Consider the following 16,631-nt stretch of genomic DNA (forward strand, 5'->3'; position numbering starts at 1 on the left):
TTTGTGCCCTCCTGTAAGAAGAAAGAGGGTCAGGTGCAGTGGCTCATGCCTGTAATCCTAGAACTTTAGGAGGCCAAGATGGGAAGATCACTTGAGCCCAGGAGTTCAAGACCAGCCTGAGCAACATAGTCAGACTCTGTCTCTATAAAACAATTAGCCAGGTGTGGTGGTGAGCACCTGTAGTCCCAGCTACCTGGGAGGCTGAGACGGGAGGATCACTTAAGCCCACGAGGTCCAGGCCACAGTGAGCTGTGATTGCACCACTGCACTCCAGCTTGGGCAACAGAGGGAGGCCCTGTCTCAAAAAAAAAAAAAAAAAGAAGAAGAAGAGGAATTCCCGTGAACAGAAAGGATGTGCTGAGCTCTGTGGATGGAAGCACAATCCATATGTCCCTGAGTGAACACAGATCATGTCATGTGGTTTTGACAGCCATGGTGACTGCATATTTTTTAACAGGGTGGATGTATGGCTTTGTACTCTGCTGCAGAGTAAGAGGCATCAAAATGAAAGAAAGGTCAAACTTCAATGGGTTCAAAAGGGATTTTGTTTTAAAACAAAGCAAACTGAAAAAACACACAGTAATTGAGATCATCTACTCAAAGTTTATTGGACTGAACAAAGGCTGAATACAGAGATCCAAGCCATGAGGAGTACATGAGGTGTGGTGCCTATAAGCCAGGGTCGGAAACTTTCCAGACAAACCTAGATAGCTCTACTAGGAGGGAGTCAACGACCTATTGTGTCAATTAGATCCCAGCCTGGACAAGGGCATGACTATTGCTGTTTGGGGACACGTGGCTCTGTGTTGAAGGCAATGACTGTGTGGCTGTTGCCATGTGGCCTGTTCTCCCCTAAGCCCTGAACCAAAGGTTCCAGGCCCAGATGAGAAGGCCCCTGGGAATGCATGCCATAGGGGTTGATGCTGGACATTCCCCAGCCTTCCATTAAATGAAAACATTTTCTATAAACTTACTGCTTTAAAAAAATGTTTTAACCAACAAACCTAAGAACTGCAAATGAGTTTGGTATAGTATAAATATTGTCAAATATAAAATTCCAAGAAACCCATTTGAGACTGATCTGATGATCTGAAGTTCTAACTAATCTATCAAACTTTCTAAGAAAAGGCATAGGTCAAGAAATCTTTTTAAAGCAAACATTATTGCTTCTGCTATAGCAGAGTGGAGATTTGGCTGAGCTGGTAAGAACCTCAGTGAAAAGGTGTCTTAGCAATGAAAGGGCTGAATCCGAGATTCCTCTAGATGAAAAATAAGGGGAATGGTCAAGTAAATTCCTGGTACTGGTTCTTTGCTGCCCTGTAATCAATATGGCATCTCACCCCCGACAACCAAGCCAGCCACAGAGAGAAGTGGGGTTCCCAGGGAAAGGGGTCGGCTGACCACCCTGACGGAGCTGGTGAGCACAGGTGAGCTCTACCTCATTTGTCTCTCATTCCTCAAAGTCTTCTGTGGTTTGGCTTCAGTGAGGGCAAAAGAGGGGAGACTGGAGTGAAAGTGAACTCTGCTTTTAAAATGTTCTTTTTATCTAAGGTGTGCAGGGTGTGTGGATAGCAAGTTTGAGTGGTAAGAAAAATCCCAGTCCAGGGTCTGAGCTCTACCTCTTAAAACTCTTCAGCTTAACAAAGTGACCCACAGGAACAGACATGAACATCTCTACACAGGGCAGGGCCAAAGGTGTTCCCAGGATCCTGCTAGCCAAGGGACAAGTCCTGATTGAGGGTCTAGAGCTCAGCAGATTTATGGAGGCAGCATGCACCCTGGGAGCCTGCCCAGACTCCTCTCTGGGGTTTCCGTTTTATCTCTCAAGCTTTTAAGATGCCAAAAGGAAAAGCCTTTAGGAGGACGCTAAGGATAACTTCGTTATTCTTCAGTTCTGTAAAGAGAAATGGGGAGAAAAAGATAATTTATTTTACTCATTCCATCCTGCACCATGGGCAAGGAAAGGGGGAAATGGGGACGAGGAAGGAGAATGTTTGGAATTGCAGAAGCTGCGCTAGACTCTGGTTTCTCAAACCACTGCTGATTTGCTTCTCATCGCTTGCAGCAAGACAGTCTGTGCCGCCAAGCCGGCCAGAGCTTGCAGAGCTCCCCTTGATCCCGCACAGAACCTGGCAGCCCACAGACCCTGTTCAGCCTCTGCAGGGTACTTAAGGAAGGAACTTGGGCATTTGAGTTGCCAAGGGCCTTTCTGATCTTGGGTTGTGTGGTTGTGCTGACAATATTCCTATCACCCTAGATAATTTCCCATTCCCGCTGGCTGAGTTTTGTCCCCTCGGGGGATACTGGCACCCTAGGATGCACGCTTCCAGATGGAGCCAACTGCATGCCCGTCTTTTATGAACCAAGACACACTGCCAGCCCTGGGACCACTGAGAACCCAGCAGGTCTGATCTTGTCCCTCTGACGCCCTCTCCTGGTGGTCACAGTCAGCACGCATTTCCAGCCTGAGCTGGAAATTCACACTGGCAGGTCTATTGTCTGTAGTTTCTTGCATACATCAGATGGAAGAACCAGAACTACCCCACAGCTGGGGTTCCTTGGCCTCCTCCTCCCCTTCCCTGTTTTACCACACTAGCACCTTCCTCTAGAGTCATGTCCATTTCCAGAGGAGTCAAGACAGCCCTGCAGACCTCAAATGGAGGGGTGGGTCCTGATCTATCAGAGCCAGCCCAGTCTATAGCCTGGGTTCATTTTCCCTCTGAGACCACAAGGTGGGAAGAAGTGATGGAGAGGAGCTGACAGCCGCGCCTGTTCTTTCTCCTGCCAAGCTGTGAAGCCAGCCAAGCCCTGCCAGCTTCCCTAGCTCTGGGGGAGGAGGAGGAGGCCTCTTGCTCAGGGGAGCTGTCACCAGCCTGCAAGCCCACTGTCCTAGCCACACTGTGAAACTGGAGGTGGCACTTCCCACAGCAGCTTCAGCGGAACCCAGGGACGCCACCAGAGGCATGAAGTGTGTGAAACTCCGGCCCGAGGGGAGAGCTGAGGAGGCGGGCAGACAGTGGCAAGCAGGATCTTAAGCAGCAGCTGCCTCTGGATTTACAGACCTGACCGCTTTCTGGCCCCAGGCGGAAGGAATTTGATCTGTGAGTAGTTCAAGGATGAGACTGACCACTTCAGCATGTCGGGGAACTAATTGGGGGCCTTCTGCTTCCAGTCCCACTTCCTAATTGTCATGAGAGCCTGTGAACTGAAGCTCCTGGGGAGTGCTGGAACTGGCAACCACTAAAGCTTCAGGTTCTAGATGCAGATCTGTTGGCTGAGCTAGTAAATTTAAAGTTAGGGGACGTGCAGCTTGTAGCTGCAACTCGACTGGACCCTGAGAGCTGGGAAAGGCATCAGAGGCATGGAGGCCGGGAGGGTGGAACCTGACAGGCGGAGAGAGAGCACCCTGCTAGCTGGCCTGTGGTTTTAGTGGTTTGATAACAACAGGCATGTTATTTTTCATACTGATGATTCTAGGGCGGTTCCCTGGACTTGGCTGGGACCAGAACTGTCTCACAGCTGCCAGCGCTCCCCACCCCCATGAGAACCATCGTGCTGAAGATGAAGAGCCAAAGCCAAACTGACCAGCCTCTGCAACCCCAAGCATCACCGTGTGAGGACAGCGTGATGTGGAGCCGCGGAGACCCCACGCAGTGCTGCGAGGGGCAACCACATGCAGGGGGGCAGAGGTGTGGGGGAGCAAGCAGATGCCACCGGCATGCCTAGGAGCCACAGGGAGCATGCGGGCTGGGCAGTGATGGGAATGAACGTGAACTCCAGTCCTGCCCCAAGAAGTCCTCCGGCCCCTCCTTCTCAATTCAGGGCACAAAGTGGTAACTGCAGCATGCAGAGGAGTCGAGGAGTCTTCCCTCGTCCCAGGAGCAGCACCTCGGGCACAGTCTCGGTCCCACAGAACAGCCAAGTGTGGGTTGGTGGTCTAGAGACCTCCAAAGATCCAGTGGGGGAAGGATGGGCAGCAGAGGGTCTACTCTCTGAAAATAAGGGGAAGGGATTTTCCCTCCCCACTGCCAAGGTCCCAGCTCTGGACGTGGGTGGCAGTGGCAGTTTCACCCCCAGCCGGAGGCCTGGTCTTTCTTGTTCTAAGAGGCCCTCCAGATCCATCTGCCTGAGCAGCCTCTGTCCCCAGGGACCTTCAAGGGCTGGCAGTTGTGTCCAGCCCCCTCTAGCCTCTGTCCAGGGACTGCAACCTTTTTCTGCAAACAGCCAGATACTACTTAGATTTGGGGGGCTGTGTGGTCTCTGCTGCAGTGACTCACCTCGGCCACTGCGGCACAAAGAGGCACAGACCACAGGAAAATGGGTGAGTGTTGCTACTACTGCCACGCTGGATTGGCACAGGCAGGTGGGGGATCAGATGTGGCCCGGCCGTTGTCTGCTAACCCTTGCCCTGATCCTAAGAACCTGCCTGTCTCACAGCTTGGGAGCACGGACCGTTCTCAGAGTATCTGCTGTGCACTGTGCAGAAGCTGCCTCATCTTCTCAGGGTGAGACCCAAGGCTGCAGGGTGACGACATCCACATTTCCGAAGCCTGAGGTCCCAGGGTGACAGTTCCCCCAGCCTTGCGAGGGGGCGCTAGCACCCCAACCTGCCGGCCCATTAGGCCCCCTCCAGGAACTCAGGGACTTAACTCCCCTCCAGGAACCTCTGCCCCCAGACGGGGCCTCTTCTGCCAGAGATTCCTCGTGCTTGAGAAGAATGAGAAGGGCTCAGGTGGGAAATGTATTAATCGGTTATGAAGGCGATGGAGGAGGGGAGGTTGAGGCCGCGTCAGTTGTTTGGGGGCACGTTAGCACGCAGTAGAAGGGGAGCACCACTAGTCTAAGAAATCAGTGTCCTTACCAAAAGGATTTGCAAGAATATTTGTGGCTCAGGACCTAAGGAACTTGCTACAGGGAAGTGAGGTCAGAGGTCAGCTCAATCCTGAAATATAAATGCAGCAAACCTGGTCATGCCAAGCGGCAGCATCCTCAGCACCTGAGGACTCGGGGCTCCTGCCAGGGCTCTTCCTCCTGGCTGTGCTTACACTGCCCGCCCCCCACCCACCCAGGGTGAAGAGCTTTCCTGCTGAGGGTCGAGAGCGCTGATGCCAGCAGCGGGAGGGGAGACAGGGCCTGTCACCGGCAGAGCAGCTGTGAGGTTAGAGGGCTGCCCGGCGGGTGGCTTGGCATGCAGCCATGAGAGGGCAGTTGAGTTCTGATTCCAAAATCATAAACCACCCCTCCTGCTCGGACCCTAGACCGCTGGTTTCTGCTGACAAGTAGGGGGTGATTCCCACAAGCTGCTCTGGGTCGCCAGGCTTGGAAAATGGCACAGCTACCACCTAGACTTCTGCTTTAACCAAAGGACTCCAGGCCACGCTGCAGAAGGGCAGCAGTGTGGGTGAGCACCAGGAGCCTGCTGCGCCTGGTGCAAAGGACTGTCCCTCTGCTGAGACCTCCCCAGCTGTCCCACTGTGCCCAGCGCACCCCTTCCCCGCCCAGCAGGATGGTGTGGAGGGAAAAGGTGGCGGGGTGCCCAGTGGCTGTGCAGGGGGTGTCCAAATGGGAAGGGGGAGCCAATTCCAACAACGAGAAGCCATAGCTGCACTGCCCGGAGCTACAAGGCGCTGCTGCAGGCGCCGGCCTGGGAGGCCGCTGAAGGATGAGCACCAAGAATCCGCTGTGTCCCGAAGGAGAAATGGAGAAATCAGCTCTGTTGGGGACTGTGTGTGTGAGTGACAGCCAGGTCTGCTCCAGGCTCTTTCCTGGCATCTCATTTCTTTAGATGGGGGCAGTGGGGTGTGGAGGGGGTGGGGGGGTGCAGTAAATGGGCTCTGTATCCCCCATCACCAGTGGCCTCCTTCTGGTCAGTGCCAGGGAGGGGTGCCAGGGGTGTGCGAGCCTGGCTGACCAGGGCAGGAAAGAACTCCTAAACTGGGAAGGTGGGGCGGTGGTTGGGCAGAGCGTGTAGGAGCCCCACCTCCTTTCTGGGCCCTTCTGCCAAGGGGCAGGAACATGAAGGGCTCAGAGGGGCACCCCCCTCCCCCAAGAGCCCGCCAGGCGCCAGCGAAGGGGCTGCAGCCTACCTCTGCTCCTCCTCCAGCTCCTCTTTGGTCATCATCTTCTTGTACTGGTTTCCCCTCAGCTTCCCGGGGCTGTATTTGAAGGAGAAGCCTTCTCCTGTGGAGGGGGGACCCAGTAAGTGCCAGGAGTGCTGTAGAGGCTGGCCCCACAAACCCCGGCCCCCTTTCCCTAGGTTTAAAAAGAAACACCTCAAGCAGAGGCCACATCTGGCTATCAGAGACATCTCACCCCAGCGCCTATACCCCCTCTCGTTCCATAGCTTTCCCTTAAATCCTACAACGAGACAGCCAGAGAGAAAGCAGTCCTACTCCTAGTCCACAGCTGTCTCCAGATGCCACATCCCTCCCAACATCTGCAGTGCTCTGCCTTGCCCTGGCCCTGCCCAGCAGGTCCTCTCGGCTACTGAGCTCAGAGGCGACAACTCCGGCAAGCAGAGCACAGCTCATCTTGGGACACACACCACGCCTGCCTGGGCTTGGGGAGGCTTGTGTCATCCCCCCACCCCCTGTGGCTATTGGAAATCTGAAAACACGCATCCAGGCAGCCCACAGTGGCCAGGCCAGGGATGCGGGATTTGCTGCAGCAGGTTTGACGTGTGTACCGCTGAAGAGGCAGAGCCCGATTTGCCAGTCCCCGAGGGGAGACCCCCCATTGCTGCCTGCAAAAAACGGACAGATCTCGAGGCCTGAAGAGGGCACATGGATGGGTAGGTGGTGGGCACAGAGGAAGCCAGGACCTGTGGCCTGGAGTGGACACAGGCTCCGGGCACATGAGCCACGGTGAGGAGAGAAAAGCTGAGCTTCCAGAGGGAAAAGCCCCATGGGGGAGCAACCTCTTGGTTCCTGAATCCAGCAGGTGTCGGGCAGAGCTGGCTGGCCTCTTATCGACCTCCACTAACTAAAGGACCCAGTGAGGGAGGCATAGAGAGATCCTCAGCTGCTATTCTGGAAGTGCTGCCCTCTCTGTCCCTCCATATCCTGTCCAGCAGCCCGAAAAGCCAGGCCCCTCCCCTCTAGCTTGCAGCCTTCATGCTACCGGATAGGCTGATGTGGACCGATGGGGAGGCGGGGGGGCTCTCAGGGTGAAAGGAAGAAGGTTCTAGATGCGAATTCAGAACCCAAACATCTGGTTGGGTGTGGTGGCTCATGCCTGTAATCCCAGCACCTTGGGAGGCCAAGGCAGGTGGATCACTTGAGGCCAGGAGTTCGAGACCAACCTGGCCAATGTGGCAAAACCCCGTCTCTACTAAAAATACAAAAAATTAGCCGGGCGTGGTGGCAGGCGCCTGTAATCCCAGCTACTCAGGAGGCTGAGGCAGGAGAATCGCTTGAACCCGGGAGGCAGAGGTTGCAGTGAGCCGAGATCGCGCCACTGTACTCCAGCCTGGGCAATAGAGTAAGATTCCAGTATCCCCCTACCCCCCAAAAAAAGAAAACATACAAAATCCTGCCTTGGTCCCAGTCTTAGGTTTCAATTTATGGGGCAAGTCTGATTAGTTTTGTTTTCTGAGCCAGACAGAACAAACGACTTGAAAAGGATTTCGCTCAGTCACATGCAGTGCACCAGGCAGCGCATCCAGTTTTGCTAGACCAGAATTCAACGTGACAGCCTCCGAGGGACGGGGGAGGTTTCTTCCTCCAGTCTCCTGTGAATTCACCTAGTCGCTCAGGGAAGTCATTTTAGCGACACTAATAATTAACCTCTGAGGCTGCCTCGTACTGCAGAGGGGCTGGAGGTGCTCACACATTCTTCCAACAGCTGGAGCCATAAACCTTTCCTTTCCCTGCCTTGCTAGAGATGGCAGGAGGCTAAGATGGCAGGAGGCGCTGGGGGTGGGGGATGTTCAGGAGCAGCGGTGCAGATAAGGGGGGAGGCTGGTGACAGTGCTGGGGGACTGTGCCCTCTGGCAGCTATGCCAGGGAGAGGGGTCTGCGAGCCTCTCTCCTTGTCCTTGCCAAAGGGCCTCCCTCCCGTGTCCCCAAGTCACTAACAGGATCCCTGCATCCCTTCAGCTGTCTCAGGCCACATGGCAGGGACAGATGCCAGGGCCATGGCTGCGGTGAGTCCCCAGTCCCCAAAAGCAGGGAGCAAGGGTCCTTCCTGGTAAGGGACTAATGTCCCCACCTGCAGCCCACCGCCTGCACCCAAGCTTCATTCTCCCCTCCTGCTTCAGGCTGTGCTGATGGAAACCAAGGCACTGCCTCAGGGGAAGCTCTGCACCCCAGCCCAGCCTGCCCGCAGGAGCTGGTTCCTACATTCCTGAAACCTTCTCTTTCCACTGCTCCTGCCAGCAGCCGACTTAACATCACAAAAGCAGACTTGCTTTTTTAAAATTATGAAATATTTCAAACATACAAAAATGCAGAAAGCACTAATCCTCCCTGTGCTTGCCACACAGAGCCAACAAACGCTGACATCTTGCATGTCTGCCTCCGCTTTCTTTTTTAGAGAAATAAGTGGATGGACCCAGCAGAAGCCACTCCATGTTTGGTTCCGCCTCTGTCTGTCCTGGCCGGGTCCGATCTGGCAGTGTCTCCCCTGTTCTCGGTCACTCCCTTTCTCCTCTCAGTCTCATGGCTGGGGCCTGTGGCCAGTCAGCCAGAGCTGCTTAGAAAGCAGGCGTGTGCCCTCCTGGGGCCTTCGTTCTGAAGAAGGCACGGGGGAGGCCGTGTGAGTGGTTTTCGTCTCAGTAAAATAGGTCAGAGATGTTTGGAGAGAATCGTGAAATGTACAGCGCGGTCACAAAAGGGGAGTTAGGAGGCAGCGCAGGACAGAGCCAGGCAGGGCGTGTAGTGTGTTCCCAAGAGGGGCCCCGGGATGGGAAAGCCAAGCCCCAAAGTGCAATGGGGGTGAGGGAGGGCTACAGGCAGGCCAGGGCAGGACATCCATGGCGCCAGACTCTACCTCTCATGCCCCACTCAGGCCACTGTCCCACCCCATCCCTCCCCTCGGCACTCGAACCCCAGCTCCTGTGATCCCCAGCAGGACACAGACCACCCCCGACACTGTCAGGCCCCCTCATGAGCGCAGAGGTCCCACTCACCGTCCTCCTCCTCAGGCCCTTCCGATGATGGCCCCTTCTCACCATCCAAGTCCTGCTCCTCTTCCTGCAAGACAAGGACAGGGTCAGTGCCCTTGGCACAGACTGGGTGATGGGAAGTGGTGGGGGGGCAGAAGGTAGGGGAGACAGAGGAGGCCCTCGAAGGTCCAGCCTGCCCACGCCCTGTGGCAGCGCCTGCCCTGTGGTCATGGTCAACCAGCAGGTGGGGGCTGTGTACAAACGATGGGCCAAAGTGACTCGGCTCACAAATGCTGAGCTGAGGCGTGTTCTTGACTGTGCACCCCAAGCCCTCGGCCTTGGCCTTTCCCAGGTGGGTGCCTGTTGAGGCTTCTGTGTGCCATTTGGAGAAGTGGGCCCAGGACTCCCACTGCGACGCTGCGGCCAGCAGACAAAGGGTGCAAGAGGAAAGCTGGCTGGGGTGTCTGTCTGGGACCAGGGCCAGGCAGCATGGCCATCGCAGCCTCTGGCTTTGCTTCCTTCTATGTTGTTTTCCATCCCCAACTCTCTCAGTGTCCATGTTCCCAAAACTGGAGCCCCACCTCTTCAGCCAGTTCTCTCCCACACAGAGACACAATAAACAGATGATCAGAGGAATGGCCCGGGATGGCCTTGGTGGAAGGAAGAAGTGACTTCAGCTTGCAGGAATGTCAGAGGATGAGAGCGACGTGCCGTGCCCATGGGCTCTGTGGGATTGAAGGTCATGGGGAGGGGACATGGGAGCCCCAGGAACTTCAACTTGGAAGCCCAGTGGGTAGATGTGGAAATGAATGAATGAGCAGCCCCAGCTGATCCCATGGAGCCCAGCCAGCGTCGGCCGCTCACGGGAGGCTCCCTAACAAAACACTGAGCTGTGCCGGGAGGCAAAGTTTTTACAAGCCCCACAGCGGGTCGGAAGTGGCAAACCCAGAGGGGCCTTGAGCTCCTCTGAGTGACTTTTTGTTTGTTTGGTTTCTGTTTTTTTCTGAGTGTGTTTCTGAGACAGAGTTTTGGCTCTTGTTGCCCAGGCTGGCGTGCAGTGGCGCGATCTCGGCTCACTGCAACGTCTGCCTCCTGGGTTTAAGCGATTCTCCTGCCTCAGCCTCCCGAGTAGCTGGGATTACGGGCGCCCGCCACCCAAGCCCAGCTAATTTTTTTGTGTTTTCAGTAGAGATGGCATGTCACCATGTTGGCCGGGCTGGTCTCGAACCCCTGACCTCAGGTGATCCGCCTGCCTCGGCCTCCCAGAGTGTTGGGATTACAGGAGTGAGCCACTGTGCCTGGCCTGAGGGACTTCCTTGACTACACAAAATGCTGCCTGGGGGGAGCTGCGCAGGCAACACAGCGTCTTCCCTGTTGGGCACTTTGTACACACAGACTTAGTGCTATCTATGGCGAAGTGGTGCCTGTGTGTCCTGACGTTTCCCAAATTTTGCACAGCAAAGTATCTCTATGGCTGAGGTCGGAGTGGGCAGGCCTCTTCCGGGGGCAGGAAGAGGAGCCGCTCCATTTGACACAGCAAACCCACTTCTAGGGATCTGCTCCAGACTGGAGAAATGTCCATCAGGATTTTTATATAATGACTCTGACCGCGTGCAGTTGAAAAGACAGAACTGGGGACCGGGTGCGGTCGCTCACGCCTGTAATCCCAGAATTTTGGGAGGCCTAGGTGGGTGGATCAGCTGAGGTTGGGAATTCGAGACCAGCCTGGCCAACATGGCAAAACCCCGTCTCTACTAAAAATACAAAAAAAAATTAGCCGAGTGTTGTGGCAGGTGCCTTTAATCCCAGCTACTCAGGAGGTTGAGGCAGGAGAATCGCTTGAACCCGGGAGGTGGAGGTTGCAGTAAGCCAAGATTGCGCCATTGCACTCCAGCCTAGTGACACAGCAAGACTGCATCTTAAAAAAAGAAAAAAAAAAAAAAAGGAGGCGTTGATAGGTGCTGACATGAAAAGTACATCAAGATAAATCGAGGGAAAAATGCAAGCAGCAGCCCCACGTGAGCAGCGCAGTCATCTTGCTGTAAATGGCAAAGTGGAAATGCACGCATGTGCTCGAAAATGCAGAGAAAAGGTTTGTTTTTTGGAAGGGCCCACGAGAAACTGTCAGCAGTGGCTACCTCTTGGGAAAGGAGCTTGGGGGGCAGCTTTTCCTTTCCGTCTTATAGAGTTCAGTATAATTTGGACTTTCCATTAATATGCATGAATGACTAAATATATTTTTTAAATGCTAATGGTGTCTTTGGACAGTCAGATCCAAAGACCCCATTTTTTCTTTATTTATTTTCTTATATATTCTAAAAAAGAAAAAAAAAGTAAGAGGCCAGGTGTGGTGGCTCATGCCTGCAATCTCAGCACTTTGGGAGGCTGAGGTGGGAGGGCTGCTTGAGCCCAGAAGTTCAAGACCAGCCTGGCAACATAGTGCACACCTCGCCTCTACTGAAAATTTAAAAATTAGCTGTGCATGGTGGCACGCACCTGTGATCCCACCTACTTAGAAGGCTGAGGCAGAAGGATCACTTGGAAAAAAAAAAGTAGAAAGAATGTAACATCCTAAATATATATATATTTGGTTTCGGCCCCCAGTTCTTGACACAGTTTTTATTTTGTTTGTTTTTTGAGACAGGATCTTGCTCTGTTGCCCAGACTGGAGTGCAGTGGTGCAATCACGGCTCACTGCAGTCTTGACCTCCAGGGCTCAAGCGATCCTCCTGCCTCAGCCTCTGGAATAGCTGGGATCACAGGTGCATGCCACCATGCCCAGCCCTGACACTGAGCTCCTAAGTCCCTTGAATTTCCTAAGTTACAGGGGTGCTAGCAGCATGTTTTGTTCTAACATTTGGTTTTGATCCCAGTCCCTGGCACAGAGCTCCTAAGTCCGTTGGAATTTCCCGGGTGACAGGAGTGTCTTTTGTTCTAATGAGGTAACTCCTGGGTGGGCTGATCACCAGAGAGATCAAGCTGCAATGAGGAGCTTGGAACTTTCAGCCCCACCACCCCCCAGCTTCCTCCAGAGACTGGAGAGGAGCTGGAGATTGAGTTAAGAATCGATGACGCCTATGTGATGAGGCCTCCGTCAACATCCCGATAGGGTTTGGAGAGCTTCCAGGCTGCTGAATGCATTCCCGTGCGCAGGGGGTAGCGTACCCCAACTCCATGGGGACGGAAGCTCCTGCATTCAGGACCCTACTGGACCTTACTCTACTTAGGTACCTCCATCTGGCTGTTCATCTGTAGCCTTTATCACTTCCTTTCTAATAAACCAGTTAACATAAGTGCTTCCCTGAGCTCCGTAAGACGCTGTAGCAAATTACTCAACTTGAGGAGGGGTTCATGGAACCCTTGATTTGTAGGCAAGTAGGACCAAAGTGTGGGGAACGAGGGGACCTGATACTTGTGATTGGCCCCTGAAGTAGGGGGCAGTCTGTGGGACTGGGCCCTAACCTGTGGGGTCTGCACTGATTCCAGGCAGTTAATGTCAGAGTTGAACGGGAGGACACCCACTTGGTGTCTGGGTGGCTGGAGAAGGTGTTGGTTGCAGGGGTGGGGCTGGCTGCATATTTGGTATCAGAAGTGAAGGGTTCTGTGGAGTGTTGTGTGCATGGACAGAAAAACAGTTGGTTTTTCTCATGGTTGATGTCTCTCTTTAATGACAGGCAAACAGTCACTGACCTATTCAGGGCACGGCCCCGGAACTAAGCCCAATATCAAGAATAGACAGGAGGCCAGTTCTCCTATTATGTGCAAAGGACACAAAGATTAAATGAAAAACAACAGCAACAATGAGCACAGTCCCTGCCTTACGGAGCTCGTGGTCCAGTAGGAAAGACAAACAAATAATTGCACTCCAGGGCGAGGAGTCCATGAGCCAGGGCAGATCCGTATCCCCAAAGGACCCAGTATCAGCTGACGTGCCCAAGCCCTCCTGAGCACAGAGAGGCTGGTACACATTTAGATTCTGGGCCAGGCACAGTGGCTCACACCTGTAATCACAGCACATTGGGAGGCCGAGGCAGGTGCGTCGCTTGAGCCCAAGAGGTTGAGGCTGTAGTAAGCCATGGGGGTGCCACTGCATTCCAGCCTGGGCAAGAGTAAGACCCTGTCACCAAAAGAAAAAAAAAATTGTACTTGACTTTGGAAGTCTGATTTTTTCTTTTTTTTTTTTTGAGACAGTTTCACTCTTGTTGCCCAGGTTGGAGTGCAATGGTACGATCTTGCCTCACTGCAGCCTCCACCTCCCAGGTTCAAGCGACTCTCCTGCCTCAGCCTCCCGAGTAGCTGGGACTATGGGCATGTGCCACCACACCTGGCTAATTTTGTATTTTTAGTAGAGATGGGGTTTCTCCATGTTGGTCAGGCTGGTCTCGAACTCCCGACCTCAGGTGATCCGCCCGTCTCGGCCTCCCAAACTGCTGGGATTACAGGTGTGGGCCACCGCGCCCGGCCTGGAAGTCTGATTTTTAAAAAGCTGTGGTCATGACCCATTGATGGGTCAGGAAAGCAAATGAGAAGGCCTTACTAGTATTGTTAAAAAAAAAAAAAAATGGGCGACCAAAGTCTTGGTGAAGTTTGAGGCTTTAATAACTTCAGAAGTATAGATACTACAAATGTACCAAAAAATGACATTTGAAAGGTTATTTACATTTAAAATACCTTGATATCTCTCACTCAGATTCTTACAGTACCCCCTCTAGTGCTATACATGGCTCTAGTTGTTCAAACTTCGAAAAACCTTTTATCGACTGTTGGTCAGTGACGGGAAAAGATTGCACTGGTGATTCCAGCTTCACCAGGTTCCAAAGAACTGGATTTTGTGCACACGTGACCTCAAGGGAGGTCAATTCAGCCCAGGAAAGGGGTCCTTTGCCTGCCTGTCCCTCCAGACACTAGCACATGCGGAGAATTAAAATGAAAAAATCTAGCACTTGACTGTCAGGAAACTAAGTGGAAAAGAAATTTAAATAAGTAAATATTCAACTGATGTTTTGTAGGTTTGTACATTTAAACATCTGAAGTTATTTATTAAAACTGCACTAAGACTCTGGGGACACCCCTGTATCCCAGAATGAAATAAAAGACAAGGCTGGGCGCGGTGGCTCATGCCTGTAATCCCAGCACTTTGGGAGGCCGAGGCGGATGGATCACGAGGTCATTAGTTCGAGACCAGTCTGGCCAACATGGGGAAATCCCGTCTCTACTAAAAATACAAAAATTAGTTGGGTGTGGTGGTGCACGACTGCTTCAGCTACTTGGGAGGCTGAGGCAGGAGAATCGTTGGACCCTGGGAGGCGGAAGTTGCAATGAGCTGAGATCACGCCACTGCAATCCAGCCTGGGCAACAGACTGGATTTTTTTTTGAGATCTGTCTCAAAAAAAAAAAAAAAAAAGAAAAAGAAATTAAAGACAAACAGTGTTTTGTGTGTGGTAGAGTTAGATACTGGTTTATAAAACTTCTGGGGCCAGGTGAGGTGGCTCACGCCTGTAATCCCAGCACTTTGGGAGGCTGAGGCAAGTGGACTGCTTGAGCCCAGGAGTTTGAGACCGCCCTGGGCAACATGTCAAACCTCATTTCTACAAAAAAATTACAAAAATTAGCTGGGCATGGTGGGATGTGCCTGTAGTCCCAGCTGAGGCTGAGGTGGGAGGATCACTTGAGCCCAGGAGGTCAAGGCTGCAGTGAGCCGAGATCACACCACTACACTCCAGCCTAGGTGAAAGAGTGAAAGCCTGTCTCAAACAAAAGAAAACAAAACAACAACACAACAAAAAACTTCTGGTGTAGCTGTGTGACTTTATATACAGGATGTAATTTAAAATTTCTTTCTTATTGTGACACCTAATTAAAAAAAGCTTGAAAACACTGCTCAATTGGCCATTTATTTTGTTGTCTGTGCAGAAATCCCCTGTTCTTTTGGAAGTTGTCCCTTGAATCCCGTGGCCCCAGTTGGGGCGGTCAAACCCTCCCCCTTCCATCTACTTATCTGGATGGGCGGGGGCATAGGCCCAGGAGCCCAATTTCTGCTTGGGGGACAAGGACCCTCTGGGACCAGAGCAGTGAGCTGCCTAGAGTGGGCCCGGGTGGAGAGACTCGTTGGAGAGCCCCCTCCCCTACCATGTGCTTGTCCTGAGGCCATTCCACCCTGCCTTTCCCTGCCTGAGAACCGCTCCATTCCAACTCCCACAGCCCCTGGACCACGGTGTCCGCCATCCACTGACACCTCTCCTGTCCACCACTCACCACACTCAGACTTTGCAGGCCAAGAACATCTCAAATTTGCCTGCATCAAATCTCAGCTCTGCTGAAGTCAAGGGTTGGATAGCCATGGAATGTTTTTTTGAGTGGTTATCAAACTGCACCTCATAGAGGCATCCCAGGGCCTCACACCTGGGCTTCTACTGGAAATAACATCCTCACTTTTATCTGGGTAACTTGTTAGGCTTTTAAAGAATATACTAATAATAATTGAATGAATTCCAATTATTATTATTGTTATTATTGAGACAGGGTCTTACTGTCACCCAGGCTGTTGGTAGAGTGATGCGATCTCGGCTCACTGCATCCTTGCCCTTCCAGGCTCCGTCAATCCTCCTACCACAGCTTCCCTAGTACCTGGGACTACAGACATGGGCCACGAGGCTTGGCTAATTTGTGTATTTTTGGTATAGATGAGGTTTTGCCATGTTGCCCAGGCTGGGCTTGAACTCCTGGGCCCAAGGGATCTGCCTGCCTCAGCCTCCCTGCTTCTGGCTGTGGTGTTTTACTTTTTTAAAAAATAACGGGGGCCGGGGGCCTGTAATCCCAGCACTTTGGGAGGCTGAGGTGGGTGGATCACCTGAGGTCAGCAGTTCGAGACCAGCCTGGACAACATAGTGAAACCCTGGGTCTACTAAAAAATAAAAAAAATTAGCTGGGCATGGTGGCAGGCACCTGTAATCCCAGCTACTTGGGAGGCTGAGTCAGGAGAATCGCTTGAACCCGGGAGGTGGGGGTTGCAGTGAGCCAAGATCAAGCCATTGCACTCCAGCCTGGGCAACAAGAGCGAAACTCCGTCTCAAAAACAAAACAAAACAAAATAAAACAATAAAACCACCAGTGTTGACTGCATTTTGCCCTGATTTTATAAAAGTGTGGACACAACAGAAAAGTGAAAGTGCTGACTCCAGTAGTAAGAAGTGCCGGTTTCAGACACAGTGCAATGGAGACAAAGACACAAACCCTTCTGCAAGGGGTGGCTCTTTAGCTTCAGGTGTGTGTGTGTGTGTGTGTGTGTGCAACGGGATGGGAAGGGATAAAGCAAAACCTTGTGCGAAATACCAGAGCTCCATCGTCTAAGGCTGTGCTCAACAGAGAGCTGGCACTAAGGATTTTACCTTCGTGCCTCCCTCATAGCACGCCCATCTTTCCTTCCGCTTTGGCACAATCAAATTTGCAGCTATGTTTTCAGGAGTGTGCACGGTGGGGGCCTGGAGGAAAGGGAGCTCAGCTGTGTCTGCAGGGAGCAAAGAAGGC

At 52.8% G+C, this 16,631-nt stretch overlaps 1 protein-coding gene across 11 annotated transcripts in view, besides 3 other annotated features; it reads right to left on the reverse strand.

The window, feature by feature from the left end:
• Nucleotides 1–16,631, reverse strand: part of MXRA7 (matrix remodeling associated 7) — a 38,415-nt gene that overhangs the window by 6,435 nt on the left and 15,349 nt on the right. For 2 of the 11 annotated variants that reach the window (NR_130926.2, NM_198530.4), the window contains exons 2-4: nt 9,128–9,191; nt 6,087–6,180; nt 581–1,894 (exon numbers count right to left, since the gene is read on the reverse strand). Coding sequence is in view for 8 of the 11 variants with exons in the window: in NM_198530.4 (NP_940932.2) it covers nt 1,882–1,894; nt 6,087–6,180; nt 9,128–9,191 (171 nt within the window). In the remaining 3 variants the exon portion in view is untranslated. Of the gene's footprint in view, nt 1–580; nt 1,895–4,861; nt 4,943–6,086; nt 6,181–9,127; nt 9,729–16,631 lie in introns of those variants that run through there. The other 9 variants (NR_130927.2, NR_130928.2, NM_001008529.3 and 6 more) reach the window with 9 other exon arrangements.
• Nucleotides 3,444–3,990: an enhancer, noted in NCBI's record as "H3K4me1 hESC enhancer chr17:74678511-74679057 (GRCh37/hg19 assembly coordinates)". NCBI's record gives its function as "activates a minimal SCP1, AML or CMV promoter by ChIP-STARR-seq in naive H9 embryonic stem cells {active_cell/tissue: H9 hESC(naive)}" and the evidence as "EXISTENCE:reporter gene assay evidence [ECO:0000049][PMID:30033119]".
• Nucleotides 5,084–5,628: an enhancer, noted in NCBI's record as "H3K4me1 hESC enhancer chr17:74680151-74680695 (GRCh37/hg19 assembly coordinates)". NCBI's record gives its function as "activates a minimal SCP1, AML or CMV promoter by ChIP-STARR-seq in naive H9 embryonic stem cells {active_cell/tissue: H9 hESC(naive)}" and the evidence as "EXISTENCE:reporter gene assay evidence [ECO:0000049][PMID:30033119]".
• Nucleotides 7,611–8,406: an enhancer, noted in NCBI's record as "H3K4me1 hESC enhancer chr17:74682678-74683473 (GRCh37/hg19 assembly coordinates)". NCBI's record gives its function as "activates a minimal SCP1, AML or CMV promoter by ChIP-STARR-seq in naive H9 embryonic stem cells {active_cell/tissue: H9 hESC(naive)}" and the evidence as "EXISTENCE:reporter gene assay evidence [ECO:0000049][PMID:30033119]".

This window comes from Homo sapiens, chromosome 17 (assembly GCF_000001405.40).
Source record: "Homo sapiens chromosome 17, GRCh38.p14 Primary Assembly".
Lineage (NCBI taxonomy): Eukaryota > Metazoa > Chordata > Mammalia > Primates > Hominidae > Homo > Homo sapiens.